Source organism: Homo sapiens, chromosome 10 (assembly GCF_000001405.40).
Source record: "Homo sapiens chromosome 10, GRCh38.p14 Primary Assembly".
Lineage (NCBI taxonomy): Eukaryota > Metazoa > Chordata > Mammalia > Primates > Hominidae > Homo > Homo sapiens.
In genome coordinates this window covers 88580964-88598720 of record NC_000010.11, presented here as the reverse complement: position 1 = coordinate 88598720, position 17757 = coordinate 88580964, and the positions used below count along the sequence as shown (strand labels likewise).

At 34.6% G+C, this 17757-nt stretch overlaps 2 protein-coding genes across 24 annotated transcripts in view, besides 2 other annotated features; one reads left to right on the top strand and one right to left on the bottom strand.

Annotated features, from left to right (window-relative positions):
* The window catches only part of LIPJ (lipase family member J), a 40278-nt gene extending 24464 nt beyond the window's left edge, over window positions 1-15814 (bottom strand). For 3 of the 10 annotated variants that reach the window (XM_047424642.1, XM_047424643.1, NM_001010939.3), the window contains exons 1-8: window positions 11876-11959; window positions 11329-11455; window positions 8025-8136; window positions 7223-7343; window positions 4577-4775; window positions 3945-4054; window positions 2305-2441; window positions 1785-1931 (exon numbers count right to left, since the gene is read on the bottom strand). In XM_047424642.1, coding sequence (XP_047280598.1) covers window positions 1785-1931; window positions 2305-2441; window positions 3945-4054; window positions 4577-4775; window positions 7223-7343; window positions 8025-8033 — 723 coding nt within the window. In that variant the 5' untranslated portion in view covers window positions 8034-8136; window positions 11329-11455; window positions 11876-11959. The other 7 variants (NR_172141.1, XM_006717635.4, XM_011539315.2 and 4 more) reach the window with 7 other exon arrangements.
* Window positions 224-363: an enhancer, noted in NCBI's record as "active region_3724". NCBI's record gives its function as "activates an Ori minimal core promoter by ATAC-STARR-seq in GM12878 lymphoblastoid cells {active_cell/tissue: GM12878}" and the evidence as "EXISTENCE:reporter gene assay evidence [ECO:0000049][PMID:35858748]".
* RNLS (renalase, FAD dependent amine oxidase) overlaps window positions 15403-17757 on the top strand; it is a 411796-nt gene continuing 409441 nt past the window's right edge. For 10 of the 14 annotated variants that reach the window (XR_001747122.3, XM_011539924.4, XM_017016380.3 and 7 more), the window contains exons 1-3: window positions 15403-15648; window positions 16414-16519; window positions 17012-17154. Coding sequence is in view for 13 of the 14 variants with exons in the window: in XM_011539924.4 (XP_011538226.1) it covers window positions 15531-15648; window positions 16414-16519; window positions 17012-17154 (367 nt within the window). In the remaining variant the exon portion in view is untranslated. The remainder of the gene's footprint in view (window positions 15649-16413; window positions 16520-17011; window positions 17155-17757) is intronic. The other 4 variants (XM_017016382.3, XM_017016384.3, XM_005269948.4 and 1 more) reach the window with 1 other exon arrangement.
* Window positions 15603-15852: an enhancer, noted in NCBI's record as "active region_3723". NCBI's record gives its function as "activates an Ori minimal core promoter by ATAC-STARR-seq in GM12878 lymphoblastoid cells {active_cell/tissue: GM12878}" and the evidence as "EXISTENCE:reporter gene assay evidence [ECO:0000049][PMID:35858748]".

Sequence of the window (17757 nt, the reverse complement as noted above, 5' to 3'; positions counted from 1 at the left end):
ACTGTTCTGTTCATCCTTCTGGATGAAGAAGTGCACAGTAGCTTTCATAAACACCTGTCAGGCCTATCTGTGAGCAATATGAAATGTTTACCAGAGTCTCTACTTCACCTTTATCAGAAAGATAAGAAGGAATCCATTCCCTGAAAGGGACCTAAATAATAATCACACACCCTTGACAGCTGCACTCAGATATCTCAGCCTCATTTCCCCTCATAAGAGTTAGAATTTCTTTTTGTAAATCATCACCAAAAAATTGTAACACCTGGACAAGGTCAAAACTTTGGTTGTTTGATGATACATTTTCCAAGTCACATTGTGAGCATTTTTATCATCTGTTTTTTCTTGCATCATGACTTGCTTTCAGTTCTCATGACTTGCTTTCAATTCTCTGGTTGGTTTTCCACACCTGAGTGACATCAGTCAGATTCCACTCACTGCCTTTTCACAAACTACCAGATTCTCTTTTGGTTTTTCATACTGGCTCTAAGCAAATAATTTTAAGCCAGACCCTACTTCCTCCACAGATCTTGCTAGGCTCAAGAGACTGATTCAAGCTGAACCACAGTTTCACAATTAACTATTTCCAAACACACTGTGCGTGAAAATTTTCTACTTCCAACTTCCTACAATTTCAGCTAAATTAAGACACAGTCATATTACAATCTACAACACTGTCAACTTCTGTTGCAGAAGAAATGCCACAGTTTTGGAGGCTAGAAAACCAGAGTGTAAGCTTTTCTAATAATTTATACACAAAAAAGAGTTCTCAGAGACATCACATTATAATTACAAAAAAATATAGAATTGGCCAAATATACTACCTAAAACATAGAATGAGTGGATAAGTAAAAATAAACATTGTATTTATGATTCTTCCAGGCCCCTCATAGTAGGTGCTTAGCACTAGATGAACAGAAAAATATGAAAAAGAGGGAATATGAAAGTAATCCTTTCTGCCTTCTCATATCTTTATGGGTGGAAAAGACGAGAACTGAGTTTCTTATAGCATTCTAAAAATAAAGTAAGGTTGAACAAAATCAACAAAGTCAACAAACATGTCCTTGTGGCATAAAAATGTGTTTGGGAATTAAGAGAATACCTATCTTTCTTTGAATGTCTATATTGGCTCTCTTTGAGAAGCTCTTAAAAGGTCCAGGTACAAGAACCAACCTCTAGTCCAAATGGCACATTTGCTTCTGCCAAATCTGGATGTTTAATTTAATGTGATGAAAAACACTTAGAATGAATGCCTATATTCTTAAGAGAACCTATACACAATCAATCCAAAGGTTTTGGTAATAGTACCTTGAGTACCACAATAGTTTCCCACTCCAAGAGTATTGATAAAAGCTAGAAACTTAAAGATAATTGGAAGGCACTAATTCTAATTATGGAAGGATCAACAAGGATAGGAAGGAGTATTAGGAACCAGGAGGAGCAGTTATGGAGTTACAGGAAACAAATGAATAGAAGAGGACCTAAATCTTAGAAGTCTCAGGAAACTAATACCCAATAGCAAAGGTCAATAAAGATACCCATCACATCAGCTGCTCTCGAATATTTACAGACAGCAAGACAAATATGGAAGTAAAATAATCCCAGCATGTTCATGCAAGTTAGTTGTACAATGTTGGTGTAGTCATAAAATCAGATAGGCTAAGAATCTGACTACTAGTGTATGTGGATGAAACACAAAATGACACAAGGTATAACACAAGCACTATTATTATTATACTTTCCAAATATTGGAAAATATATATATTTCAAATACAACTTGTTCTTACCATATTTAAGTTTTTTGGGTCATATCCAAACATCATAAACAAGATATTGAGGCAAATCTTATCAAAAATCTGTAGTGGACACAGCTTTGAACCAATGAATTTTTTAAATGAGGTTTTAGGCAAGAAGTCTTTGTTGCCTGAAAAAGCCTGTAAAATAAATTTATTTTATCCACATTTGGATGACCACAATAAGTGCTAAAGAAATGTTGTGGTAATTCACTATCTATAAAACCAAATAAATTATCTCACAGTAGTTTGAAAATTTTAAATAAAGGAAAAAACTTGGAAGCAGGGTGTGGAGATGGTTTGGCCACTGAATTTCTTCTCACAGTAGGGTTCTAAAGTTATAATAAGTAAAATTGTATTCCTTTGCAGAAACAAAAACAAGAATGTAGTGTAAATGAAACCAAAAATTTCAATCCATACTTGTGGTTGTCTACGTATAGTCAAGATCTCTTATTTGAAAGCATAAAATTATCACTTTGGGTTATCAATGACATAAAATAAAGGTAGAACATACCATGACTATTGACTTCCATTTGTATGTCATTCTAATTAAAGGACTTTTTAAGTACTTTGTGGAAAAAACTGGTGCTAAAGCAAAAAATATTTTGATTCTTTCAGCTATCTTTGATATAGTAGAAAATGTTATGAAACCTAAAATAAAATAAGATATAAATTAGTAAGCTATTCTTAAGCAATTACTAGCATGTAAGAGATGACACCAAGGAGAATAAGAGTAAGTTCAAAAATAGTTTCTGAACAATTAACTTATTTCTTAATTCATTTATCAAACATTTTTAAATCACCTAGTATACAACATTATATTGATCATAATATAATGCTGATAATTTGGGTTTCTAAAATGTATAGACCATAAAGAATGATAATTTAGCAATAAATCAGACATGTAATGCCATAGTTTAAAAATTAGGAGCAAGATTGAACATTTTTTATAACTTGCAGTGGTGAAAATGAAATATGTGAAATTTTCAGACAGATGAATCTTATAATTTAGGTGACAGGCTTAATAAATGTCCCATCATTTTAATATTTATCTTCAATATATTTTAAAACTCCTTATCTTCTTATACAGAGGATACTAAGCATCTTATTTTATTGGCAATTTAGAGGCATTAATGTGAAAAATAGTCATTTTTCCCTTTGCCATCTTATCAAGCTATCTACTTACACATCAATATTCTGATTGATTATTTATTTATTATTTATTTATTTAGGTCAGGTTCTGAGAAGCCAAACAGCCAAAGAATTATATATCATATAGTAAGTCCACAAGCTCTGACACTCATTACTCACTTTTTTTTCTTATTTCTACATTTTCAGGCATTCCTGGTTTTAAATAATTGAATAGTTGATGAGAATTTGGACTAAAAGTCACATATATGGCTAATACATGTCAGAGAAAAGATCTATACAAAATGGGATTAGATTGTTACTCAACATGCTTTTTCTAATAGGAAGTGGATTATTTCTATAAGAAAATTATAGTCTTCAGCTTAGAAATGACTTACTTAATATTAGCTTCATTATAAGATGGCTTTTTCTCCCTGCAAAGTGGGTAAAGAGGTTTACAGTACCATGCAAGAGAATTATGTTAGGTCATAGGTCATTTATTTCCGAAAGTAAAGTTGTTATGTATTAGATAGGCATTAGAGTTCTGATTAAAGTTCTTTTCTAGTCATCTTTAAATATAGAAAGAATTTCCTGATTTTTGTTCATTTCTTAAGTTTGATCAGTCCGAAATGCAAAAACATACATAGCTTTTTCATCTTTTCCACTCATAATATCCTATGCTACATTTTTAAAAGGAAAAATAATGTGAAAGTTCTATTTGTAGAACAAATAATAGTGGCAATCTCACTTTGATCTTAAATAACATAGATATCCAACTTTTATACAATTTGAAACAAACAAAACCACAACCAACCTTGTCTTTACAATCAATTCTTTGTGACTAGAGAAGACTCCATGGGGGATCAAAGCAGCATGTAAGATTCCAGGGCATTCTGCTGTACTATGTTTGTCTCACAGTTTTTGTTTTACTTACAGGTCTAGAAGCTTATCTACAACTTTAAGAAGTATATGCACAACCTTAAAAAAGAAATTAAGGGATATTAGCAATAATCTTTCTTGGCATACCAATAGTAGTACCCTGTGAATGGCCTACATAAAATATTTCCTCTTGTCTGGTTTGCTTCACAGTGAAATCAATAGAGGCTGGAAGGTCATATTTTGCCATCTCATCAAAACTACAAAAGAAAGAGGAAAATAAAAATAGCACTTTCTACTAATGTTATGTTAGTATTTGAAAATAATGAAGAGATAACTGAATAAAGGCAATTTTCTACTCTAGTTATTAATAAGGAAGTTATACGGTATAATATATCTTCTGAATAGAGACTTCTGTGGGAACTCAAACTCAAGGAAATAAAATCACAAGGCAGTCTTATAAAGAGGGTGTTTGTATATGAAAAATAGAGTAGGGTAGACAAAATATATGAGTTATAGAGTAGAAGAGTAGTTAAAGGAAGGATGGGGTTGGTCAGTAAGGTACTAAGTAAGAAATAAAGATTATTGCTGAAACGTAAGAATCAAACTCAAAATCACACAAGTACTCTTTAATTTTCAAGCAAAAATTCACATAAATTGTAATAGTCTATGGAAAGTCCTAAATTGTGAAAATAGTAAGACCTAAATTTTATTTTATTGCATTCAAAATGAAAAATTTGTATACACTTATAAAATGAAATGTTACTTCATTTTATTTGTACCTGAAAGCCCAGAATTCTTTGGAACTCGTTTCTAGGTACAAGTGTTTCCTGGACCAGGTATTTCCTCTGCTATTTCCCATCCACACATCATAACCAGCATCTGCCAGAATGAAGCCCAGACTATTGTTGGGAAGATTGGAAATCCAGCTGCTGGCAGATGTAAGCAAACCATGTTGCAAGTATACAACAACCCTCTGAGCTGAGAAAAAAATGTAGAAAGTTCTTTATAAATTTTGTAGTTATCTATATGAAAATCTTTTATCTGAAATTCAAACTTTTAGTACATGACAGTTTAAAGATTTTAAAAAATTGTTTTCATAAGTGGGGTAAGTTATTAAGATTTAATCCCGTTGTATGACAGAGCTGTTTAATACAGTTCACTAATGGATGTCTTTCAAATAACCAAGTGAGCAATTAGGTCACATCACACTTAAATATGTACATTTTACTGAGAGAAAATAATAAAAAATTTTATAGTAATTCAAGCACTCATACACATTTTAAGTAACACATTTTAAATCAGGGATCAATTACATAGCAAAGTTGACACATCCATTGGCACATGGCCATGGTATCCACTGGTCCTACCATATAACTCCCAACAAGAGGCTGCCAACCTGATAGAAAAATGAAACAAGCCCTTGAATGCTCAGTAAAAGCCAGCTGGGAAAAAGCCAGCTGGGAGATGACATCCTGTAAGTATGGGCACTATCCTTCAGGATTTATTGTACATCTTTTAAAAATGGTGAGAATATATTAGTGATTCCCCAATAAGTAGAATACAGGAGTCTGAGGAACAAGAGCTTGCCATGACTCCTAGTAACCCATTTAGGGATCTGTTCTCACAATTTTAGCCTCTACATATCTAGAGGCCCTGGTCTCCAGAGAGAAAATGCTTCCACCAAGGCACTGTAAGCATCCTAACAAACAAGGCTATGACCACCGCCTGGTCACTTTGGGCTCTTCATTACTGAAGACCAGGAAGTTCATTGACCCTGATCATCATAAGGAAGTAGGTCTGCTGCTACAAAACGAGGAAAGGGAGAAATACATTTGCTCTTCAGGAGATCCACTGAGTCATCTTTTCCTACTTCTATGCCCTGTTTTAACTGTACATGAACAAGTGCAACCATCACCTGATATGAATATGTTAGCCCCTAGGGATGAAGGTCTGGCTTACCCTATCAGGCAGGCTAGCTGAGAGGTAGAGAAAGCTAGAATAGATGGTGGAGGAGGACATTTATGAGTACTAGTTATGGCCTTAGGTTGCTTTTTAAGGGTTTACTATTGCTCATCAGGCAGGCTAGCTGAGAGGTAAAGAAATCTAGAATGGATAGTGGAGGAGGACATTTATGAATACTAGTTATGGCCCTAGTGTTGCTTTTTAAGGGTTTACTATTGCTCCTTTCTCTGTAGAATTGCCCATGGCCAAATTGGAACTGCCTCACCTAAGAGATCACACCTCCTTCTAGGGGTAGCCTTCAGGCAATGATTAACTGATTTAGGAATGCAAAAAGCTGGCTCTCTAATCTCAGGGTGGGACCACCTCTGTAGTGTAATTTTTATGGGAACCTTGAACTCCTCTGAGATCATCTTTTAGCTAGCCCCAAGCTGAGTCATATTATATTATTCCTTAACTCTTTACCCTACTTTATCCTAATTTCCACGTTACTGCCTCCTGACAGTATTTCATCAATCAGTCACATGTACCTGAACCCCTCTCTCAGGCTCTGCCTTTAGAGCACTCTAAGGCACTTGCTGTGTTTTAAAATTATCTTTAAATCTTTAATACAGTACTTGTAAAATGAGGTCATAGCTTGGGGGATAATTACTATTATTATATAAAATCTATGTTAAGATTTTCTGCTACTGGGTATAACCTTTATAAATATGCAAAATTATGTTAATTGAGGTTGTTTCAAATTAATATCCTCTCTGAAGTGTACTTTAATGTTCAAAATAACTTGAGAGGATGCCCTATAATATAAGAAACATTCTATTTGTTTCACATCCTGTTTCCTTCTGAAAGAAACATTCTTTCAGGAAGAAAAGCTAAGGAGAAAATACTTGGCTTTTATTTGGGTAATTATATGAATAAGAAAAAGTAATCCATTACATATTCTACTAGTAAGTGGCAGATCTAGGATTACAACCCAGATCTCCTAACAAATTCCAGTGCATTTTGCACCACACTCTGATGATACTTACTGTTGGAATAAAGAGCCCTGAGGCTGCTACTAACCTCATCTCTCTGCTATTTCTAGAGGAGAGAATCAGAAAGACAAAAAAGGAAATTTGTACCAGCCTTTCTTCAAAACCTAGAGCATAATAATGTTATTGTGTTTCAGAGCATTTCTAATTTCTCATCAGAAAAAGAAAATTCTAGAGAATCAACATGTAAGAGCAAAGTGATCCACAAAGGAAACCTGGGAAGAACAGCTTGTGTTCCATCACAACCTCTCTGTGACCAGAAGGCCGGTGTATCTTCTTGTGTGACTCTTCTTGTAGCATGCGAGAAGATACATGGGAAGTTAACTATTCACTTAATCTTAAGATGCTTTTCTTGTCCTATGTTCTCCGTCAATTGGAGCAATTAAGAACTTCAGGCCCCAGATTGTCACCAATCCATCTTCAATTGAATATTACCTAGATTTTTATTATTGTCTGTCCTCCAATAAGGAATTCTATAAAGGCCAAGGATATAACCATCTTCGGTTACAATATCATATTCTTCATCAGGGTAGCCCCAGTAGGAAATAATCTGGCTCTAGATAAAGAAAAAGCAAATCTTTTAGCATAAAATTGTTATCCAATTAAGTTGAATGGTTTGCCATTTCTAACGCATTATGTGACAATGAACCTTGGTATTCTCTCTCAACCTCAAGCCTATCTATTTTTATTTTCACTAATTTACTGATTCATACAGATAATAAATATTTGTAAAATACCTACTGAGCAGCAGTTTTATATACTAGGGATTGAAAGAATAAAATAAATAAACAAACAAACAAACCCCTACCCTCAAAGAGATATCTCAAGAATATTTTCTTTTTTAACTACTAGTCTCTCATACTTTTACCTACCCACTCGTATACAATTTAAAAATATACATGCATCCATAAATGTTTGCATGTCTATGTGTATATCTAATCTTATATCTGAAATTTGTATATTTATAAATATGTAGAAGAGAAGGAGATATATATTCATACCTTCATATATATGAATATATATTTCAAATATGTGAAAGTATGAATATAGTTACACATTTTTCATTACAAAGATAGAATAAGGCTGAAGGAGAAACTAAGCTATAGAATAGCAGATGAGAAATATTAACATATAGATGTATACGTTTGACTGTAAATCTATTAAGTTAAAATTCCAAATTTGAAAAGTAGCATTCTCTGTTATTTCAGCAGTCCAGATTTATTTTCTAACAACTTACAATATTCATATCTGCTTCAGGTTTCACAGATCTTTAATTTTGAAAGACACCATGAGTAATTCCAAGAATTCGGATAAAATACATCATTGTGAAAAGATACCACGTTTGGGACCTATATATAAAAGGGAGATGTTTATACAGTTAAAATTGCAGCAAATAATACCATTTATAAAACTGCAGCCAATAATTCTATGAGGTAGGAAATATTACTGTTTTCAGGTAAGAAAACAGAGGCTTTGAAGAATTAAATAACTTGGCTAAAACCATAAAATGTATAACTGGCAGTCAGAATTCAGATTCAGGACTGCTTAATTTCAAAGTCCATGCTTTTCTGGCTACCCTATTTTGTAGATAAATTCCCTCTTAGAAGTCTCCATTGTAGTATTGCACAGTCCAATTCTGAGAGCTTTATCATGTATTACAAATTAATTGATGTGTGAATTAATGCTGTAATAGTATTATTACCAGCCTAACATTTATTTAACATATATTTAATTGTTTTTTTAGCGGGGAGGGGAAAGAACGGGGAGATTTGGAAGCTTGGATAACTTTCATTCAGCAACTCATTTTACTTTTTTTACAGATAGGTGATTTTTGAGTCTCCTAAATTCTAGGAAGGCAGAACTCTTAAGTTTTTTCTTAAAACAATAAACCAGGTACCCACAGAGGCTGCCATCCAGATTCTCCCCCCAAAAGCATGACTTACTAATCTTATGAGCCTTGTATAATAAGCCAACCACTATACTCAGAAGGACATGATTCAAGGATTATAAAACCCCTAGCTCCACCACTCATTAGCTAGGTGACTTAAAGCAGATTACTTAACCTCTGTGATCATCAGTTTCCCTGCCTACAAAATGCAACTAATACCTACTTCTCAGGATTGTTATAAAACTTAAATCTGATCAATGTAATATGATGTATTAGTGTAATATCTGTCATAGAGCTGACATTAATATGTAACAATCCTCCTTATGCAAGAGAACAAATTACAAGCAATTTAGGGAGATAATTTACATGCACATACTTGATATGTCTTTCTTACATATTTATTAGTCCAGTTTCCTGTGCACTGACCGCTTGAAAAAAATTATGTAAATCTGAAAGTTTTAAAGTGCATTCATTTTTAAAAAAACACTTTCTAACTGAAAACTTTAATTTACAGAAGCTGCACTTCTTTCCTTTGGTCCAGGTATTTATATTTGGTATAATATCTGTGGTTTTCATTGAAGGCAACAGCAAAGTTTAAAACAGCATTATCAATATCTTCTACCAAAGAGAAGAGCAAGAGCTGCTAATTTAACTGCACATGGAAAAACTTTATAACATTTGGAATCACATTTAGATATTCCTCTTTGGTTGTATTCTTGGAAAAGTGCTCAGCAGGCAGCAAGTCTACTCAGTTCTCTCTCCTCATGGGCTGTCTCAGATAAGTACATGGAAATAGCTTGGGAAGAAATATTTTCTCTGTCTGTACAATGTATTAACTGATATTGTAGCTTACTACACACTGCTTGCTTCCTAGCTGAGGTTTTAAGATGCTTTGCATTATATCTAGAAGGAATGTATAGACTATCATCTGAAACAAGATACCTTTTAAAATAAAATTCTATTAATAATTTTCTTGGGAAAATAGGCATAATCTGGACTGTTCCAGGCATGTAGGTTTTGACTGCCCAATTTATAGCCTCAAATATTTACCCAAATTTTAATATTTTTATACAAAGAAAACACAGAGGGATAAGCCTTTGATATATAGTTGTGGTACTCCTAATAACCACCAATGGGAAATGTTTAAACTGAATGAAATTAACCTTATTATTTGCAGTGACTCATCAACCATACAAAGCAACTAGTGAAAAAGTTCACTAAAGTCTAGAATGTGGCCATTGAGCACTTGAAATGTGGCCAGTGAGAAACTGAATATTTTATTTTAGTTAAATTAATTTTAATATGAAAGCTAAAGCAGTGTAAAATATTTTTCTGTTAAACACAACTTTAAATTTTTATAAGATTTTCTGTATTGTTAATCCAAATTCAAGACTGTCTTGAAACAAAAGCAATACTTGTCAAATATCCCATAACTGAAAACAAGAAAATGGCAGGATGACGTGTTTTTTCATCCATATCATGCTGAATGGAAAAGCTCATTTATTACCTTAATAAACTGCTACTAGACTTTATGTTGAAATGAAAACTTTCCATAATGCAATTCAATAATAATGATTTACACATTTTTCTAACATGAATCAATATGCAGATTTTAATTCTAAACAACAGCATTTATATAAATTGGCTACAAAACTACAAGAAAAATAGTTGATATTAATAAATTTAGAGTTGCTTTGCAACTCAAACTTGAATTTGATATTAATAATTTTAAGTTGACATGAGCTATTTAAATATACTTAACTTGGAGAGATAGAGTTTTTAAGTTGATATGTTTTTACTTCAAAGTCTAATCAATTTTTCTAAAAAAGATAAATAATTTTGTCATAGTAGATGCAAATATAAGAGAAAATTGTTTATTTATAGTCAATTCAGTTACTGAAACTTTTAAATATGTTTCAAACAATTTAGGTATGTGAAACTACTCTTGTAGGTGTAAATTTTATGAACTCTAAAAACACCTCAAGTGTGTCTAATACAAATTTAGCTCCAGAATTAAGATCTTTTATACATGTAAAATAAACTCTGGATTTTGAAGGTTTACAAAAAAAGATAATGTAAAATATCTCATCAATAATTTTTCTAATACATGTTGAAATAATAATTTGGATAAAATCGTTTGCTATTTATTAAGTTCATGCAAGATATCATAGAAGTAATCACTACTACTAGATTAAAATATTACCTTGGCCTGTAAACCTTGTACCTAATGGAGCAGGTAATCATTATTACTTCAATTTGAGTTACTTGCCATAATTTTCCATCCATGCTGGTTGCCTGGTGAGATACTATTCCATGGAGCAAATCACTGGTGTTTGCTCTGCTAAGAGGCAAACTTTCATAAGGCAGCCAAAGATGAAAGTGAGTAAAAAGTGTAGTTTTGTACCACAGCACTAAAACTGGAGGTTGCCAGAATTTTAAATAATGATTTTTAAAAGCTATCACCCATTTAGCAAAAGTACTTAAACAAAATATGAAGATATCAAATATCTGTAATATTAATAACATTAATCCACAACTACAATATAATTTCCTAAAAGATGACTTGAGAATTATGTTTCTTTAGCTTCTGCCATTAAAATGATTAGTTTGACTCTAGGTACAACACACAACAATGAAAAGTATTATATCATACCTCTCTGCTTTTGTTGATTTTAAGTGTCCAATATATGTGTCTTCAAAGTAGTCAGTCATATATTGTGTTTCTTTTAGCAAAAGTTGCTAAGTAGAGTCATAGGAAAGCTAAGAAAAAGCATATTATACTAAAAAGAAAAAATAAAAAGAGAACATTTAGCTCAAGGCAATATTAAATTCAGCTTCCTATTTTTTTCAAGCCCCTTTCCCATACGTTAATCCAAATACATTCACATCTTGACGAAAATGAGAAAACCACTACAGAGGTTGTTAGTGATAGTTTCCCGCTAGTGTCCATTAAAAAGCAATTAAAAGTATTAAGATATGAAACTTCCTTAAAAGTCTGAAGTAGATTTATTTTTCTGTCTGGCAGTTATTGTAATAACAGCAACAAGTAGTGACTATGCAGTCTATAATGACTTAAAGGAGTTCAAATATAGAAGCAACAGTCTTAAAAGTATTGTTAGGTCTCAAAAGAAGACATTTACACGGCCAATGAACACATGAAAAGAAGTTCAACGTCACTGATCATTATCCAACTGAATTACCATCCGGTCTATCTTCATTTAAGTATTATCCTCAAAAGTCTTGTATATCTTCCAGCAAACAGATAGTGAACCCTCATAGTCTCTGAGAATTCTAACTTTGATTCTAGTTGCCAGGGAAACTGCGTTGAACATGACAAAATTTCTACCCTCTTGGTGCTTAAATTCTAGTAGGATAAACAATAAATAATAAATAAGTAAACAGGTAAAAAAGTGAGATTACTTCTAAAAGGGATTGAGATGAAGAAAATAAAGCATTCATTTTTCCATCATTTAATGGACTAGGGAGTCACTGGGTGGCTATTTTAGGTCAAGTGGTTAGAGAAGACCTCTTTTAGGTGGCTTTTAAGCTGATTTGAATGAAGTCATTCAAGGAGTCAGCCTTGAAAAGATCAAGAATAGGAAAAAAGTCAAGGGAAAAGGTCAAGGTGATTAGGAAAAAATAAATATTAGACATGGGGGCTGTCTCACCTATCTTGCAATCCTAGGTGATCTAGTCATTCTAGGTCATCTAGTCATTCTTACCTTTCCAGAAAGCTGCACTACTGCCAAGTAGTCAACCAAGGACCCATTATGCTATTAACTGTGAAATCAGATGTAACCCATGGAGGTTGGGGCGTAATGAGAAATTGCAAACCACTATGGCTATTTCCATTCGATGACCATAGCAATCCAAAATTCTGGATAACTGTTTTTGAAAGAGCGTATGATCATAGGGAGAAAGAAAAAAGACAAAGATAAATGCGGATTCACAACTGCAGGAGATGCAAGCAAAAACGATGCTGTATACACAGAGAACAGCGTAAGTAAAGGTTTTCTTCTGCCATAGATAAGTGGAAAATCTGAGGATGTGTTCAAGGAAAAGAAAGATATTCAGTTTAGCGAAAGCACAGAACAAATGAAGACACAAATGTAAGTGATAACTGTAGGATGATAATATATTATTGAACATTTTTATGCCAAATGAATGAATGGAACTTAATTCTGTATGAAACTGAGAGCTACAGAAAGTTTTTGAGGATAGTAATGACATCTAGAAGCTGGGTGCAGAACTGGGAAGTAGGAAGACTAGTTAGAAAGCTACGGTAATAATCCCAGTAAGAACTGATGGCCTGAACTGGTGTGATGATAGTGGGTTATCAGAATTTATTAACATTAGTGTCACTAAAGTTGATACACAACCCTCCACTGCTAAATTTGACTGGCTTAAAAAAAAAAACCTAATGGCTTGAACTCAAGTAGTGAATTCGTTTTTTGGCAATTACTCTTTGAAATGTTAAACGTTCACAGTGGGCAGAGTGCAGTGAAGAGAAAGTTCCGACCTTACCATATTCTGTTCACTGTTTTCTACCATTGCTGGTGGAAATGGAATTTGAGCAACTTTTCTGTTGTACAATCTGATGTGACTGGATGATTCAAGAGACAATGGAGAAACGGTCAAAAAGACCTGAGGGCTGATAGGTATCAAGGATGAGAAAAAAGAAGCTATAGAAGATAATTATGAAGTTTCAAGTCTCATTGTCCATGATGATCAAATTATTAATAGAAATGAGGAAGCTGGAAAGGATGGAAAAGAGCAGGAGAGCAGACTCAGAAGACCATGAAGGCCTGCCCTTGCTTCACCGTTGAGATGATAGGTAACCTTGGGCAAACTCACTTGAACTTAGTGTCTGTATTAACGTGTATAAAATGGTGGCAGAGGACAGTTGAAATAGATTACTGCAAATGTACTTTCCAGATTGACGATTTTGAGATTTTAGGGCTATGGCTGTGAATCACATTAAGCTTTTAATTTCAGAGAAATCTGAACTTTTAATTTCAGAAAAATCATAAACTTCAATGTATAATTGTACACTATTTCCCCAAGATAAATGTCTGCTTTAAATGGCATATTTTTAAGGCTTTTGACATAGTATCAGACTGTATTATGACAAATTTGTCTAGTACACTTCCATCAGTAATATACCATTGTGTATTTTGCTGTATCCCTGAAAAAAAGACATTTTTACATTTACAAAAGTAATTCCTAACCCGGGGAACATGGCAAAACCTTATCTCTACATAAAGTATACACACCCACAAAATGAGCCACACGTGGCGGTGGGCACCTGTAGTCCCAGCTACTCAGGTGGCTGAGGCAGGAGAATAGCTTGAGCCTAAGAGGTCAAGGCTGCAGTGAGCCCTGATCGTGCCACTGCACTCTTGCCTGAGTGACACAAGACCCTGTCTCAAGAAAGAAAAAACAAAAAACTCAACAAATGAAAAATAGTACCTCATTTTAATTTGTATTTGAATATAAAAAATTAAACACATGCTTATTGGACTTACGTATTTCTTTTTATTCAAGAACTCTATCCAATATATACACATTTTCCTTTTGGCTTTTGTCATTTGTGTCTTTAAGACTTTGAATAATGTTTTTAAATAATATTAACTTTAATCTTTCATACACCTTTCAGAAATTTACTATTTGTATTTTGTTTTGTGTATTTTGTAACACACAAGTTGTAAATGATTATGTATTTTCTGTTCAATTCCATCTTTCATTTTTATGCTTAAAAATGTCTTCTTAGTCATATATGCCCGTCTACATTTTCTTCTAGTTCTTTTATTAGATATATCTAGTATTAATTCGTCACCCATTTGATACATGGTAATTTTTTTCATGATGTGGACATGAAGTAAATATTCTGATTTTTAAATGTTTCCATTATAATTGGCTACCATTGTCAATTTTCTTATTGGTTCTGATACTTATTCGGTTTCTTAGTTTTCCAGGTAATAATTTATCTGCAAGTCAGCGTAACTTAATTATTTGTTTTTTAATAGTTCAGTATTACCATTGCCTTTGTTGTTTCATTGAGAACTTCCAGTACAATGTCAGGAGGGGGAAAAAAACAACGGCAATGGCACCAATCCTTCTCTTGTTGTTCATCTTTATATTCCTTAGAACATACGGAATGCGTTCTGACATAGAACTTATTGAAGAGTAATTTGGAATTTTCTGATGAATCAACTGTCTTTAATCTTTACAAGTTTGAAAGGTATACGTTATTGTTTCCATTTCCCAGATGGAGAAATTGAGGTTCAGGAAGGTTACACAAAGTCCCAGGTCTAAGAAAAATGTCTCCCAGATTCCAAAAGATGTTTCTATTATGCTAATAGTGGCCGTTCAAGCATTAGAGGAAAGGTTGCCCGTGGTATCGCTGGTAAATTCTTCTTCCCACTTTCAAATCTAGAATAGTAAAACAGCAAAAATCCCAACAGGCATGAGAGTTATCGCAGTAGATAGGTTAAGCTGCTTCTCTGCTGTGGTCAACGTCAGCTCTGTTGCGAGGCGGGTTCTCCCAACAATAGCCCACACCATTTCCAGGCTTTTCTGGGCGAGGGGCAGGGCGCCCGGCCCCCAAAGCGAGAAGACAGACAGCCCCGGTTCTCCGCAGCCCCAGGTTTGCTCCTCAAGGACGGAGGGGCCTCTCAGCTCCGGCCGCCTCCTTTCCGCCCCCTGCAGGCCGGCCGGAGGAAAGCTCAGGGCCCAGGTCGGCCCAGGGAGCACGGAACCAAAGAGCGCTAGCGCCGGTTCGGCCGCCTTTCCAGAAAGCCCGGGCCGAACGGCCCCGCCGCAGAGACTCAGCGCGGATCGCTGCTCCCTCTCGCCATGGCGCAGGTGCTGATCGTGGGCGCCGGGATGACAGGAAGCTTGTGCGCTGCGCTGCTGAGGAGGCAGACGTCCGGTCCCTTGTACCTTGCTGTGTGGGACAAGGCTGAGGACTCAGGTGGGTTGTCTAAACGCCAAAACCTGGGAAAAGAGGACTGCCGGGCAGGCTGCTGAGGTGGTGTGGGCCTGCACCCAAGAAAGTCTAAGGCGAAAACGCTATACCCTCAGCTCCCTGAGCGGCCGTGTAGCGCGGCCCATGCGCCGAGTGGCGCGCCTCGTCACGTGATCGGGGACTTCCGCCGCCCGGGAAAAGGCCCAAGAAGGGGCGAGGGTGGGGGCGAGGGTGGGGGCCCGGCAGGAGTACCCCGCGCTCTACAGAGGGAGACCTGAGACAGCGGCGTGGGAGGGGCCCCGACCCGAGTTTGCAAAGCTTGGGCCTACTGCTGTCCCTAATAAATAGATTTTTTGTCTTGGTCTGTCTGTTGGCTTTGCAGCTTTCTGCAGATTATGAGACTCCCAAAGTGATCATAGACCAAGATTTTCTGAAGATCTAGTTTGCAGAATCCTGTCATTCTCATGAAGATTGACTGTATGAATGAAAGAGCATTAGTTGACTCATTTATTCTGACATTTCTTTCATCATTTTTAGTTTTATCCATTCACTGACTCCTATTACTAAATATATGCACTATAATGGTGCTGGACACTGTTACATTGTTCATGACTCCTTCTAAAATCTCACAATCTGATCAAATACTTCAACTTAAAAAAGTTTCTTAAGATATTTTTGAAGTAATCTGTTTGGGGTAACCTAAGGTGCATTGAATTAATTGCTAAGGCTCATTGTCATGCAGTAAGACATTTTCCTGTGGATTAATTCAAGGGGGAAGAATGACTACAGCCTGCAGTCCTCATAATCCTCAGTGCACAGCTGACTTGGGTGCTCAGTACATCACCTGCACTCCTCATTATGCCAAAAAACACCAACGGTGAGTTAGTTGCAAGGAGTGGAATCAATCTTAGCAGTTGTGTGATGTCATAGGGTTGTTGTGAAGATTAGATTAGCTGATAAATGGAACATAGTAAGGGCTCGATAAATATCAATTGCTATGTTGGTGTTATGGAAGAAGGCAACTAGCTGTGATGGGAGTCAATCTTCTGAACCAAATTTAAAATTGATATACTAAATACATTTGTTTGTTTTCATTAACTTTACTTTTAAAATATGCTTACAGAGAAATAGGCCTTTGACTAAAGTCAGCAAACGACCTATGGATTCTCAAAATATTTCTCTTCTTCACCTGTATTATAAGTTTTATTTAACACAAATTATACATTTTATTTAATACAAAATATTCATAGGAAGATATCTAATTTTGATTTTGAATTATAACCTCTGAGAATTATTGAAAGAAAATATAGTCTTTTAGAGCTATTCATGGTATATAATTACATTAAATATACATATTGATTTATTTCAGTTTTTATGATGAACTGTTAGCCTATGGCGTTTTGAGGCCTCTAAGCTCGCCTATTGAAGGAATGGTGATGAAAGAAGGAGACTGTAACTTTGTGGCACCTCAAGGAATTTCTTCAATTATTAAGCATTACTTGAAAGAATCAGGTGGGAGTAAGATTTTCTCTGCCTAAATTTTAAAATTAGCATTTAAAAACAAGTTACACACATAGTTACATATTAATACTATACAGGAAATTATAAATATTAGGTGCTCTATTTGCTGATCAATAGCTAGTCCTTCCCCAAAGTAATCATTGATAAGCTTCCAGTGTATATTTCCGGAACAATGTTTATGCATCTCTCTATTGAGCTACATGGCTGTCTCTATTTATCTATAATATAGATATTATAGATGTATATATATATATATATATATACACACACACACACATACATATATATTTCTTTATATTTATTCTTTTAAAAATATAAAAGGGAATAATTTTGCATAAATGATTCTATACCTTGTTTGACTCATATCTTGGATCTATTTTCATATCAGCAAATTTAGTGTAATCCATTTTCTTTAATGATTGTCTAGTATTTATGACATATGCGTACCATCACTTATTTAACTATTAGCTTTCTGGTAAATATTTAGGCTGTATGGGGTTGGGAGATTGTTTTGGTTTTTGCTAATACAAACATTGATGCATGTCTATTGTTGACATGCTTTTGGAAGCATATCTTTATTTAGGATCAATTCCT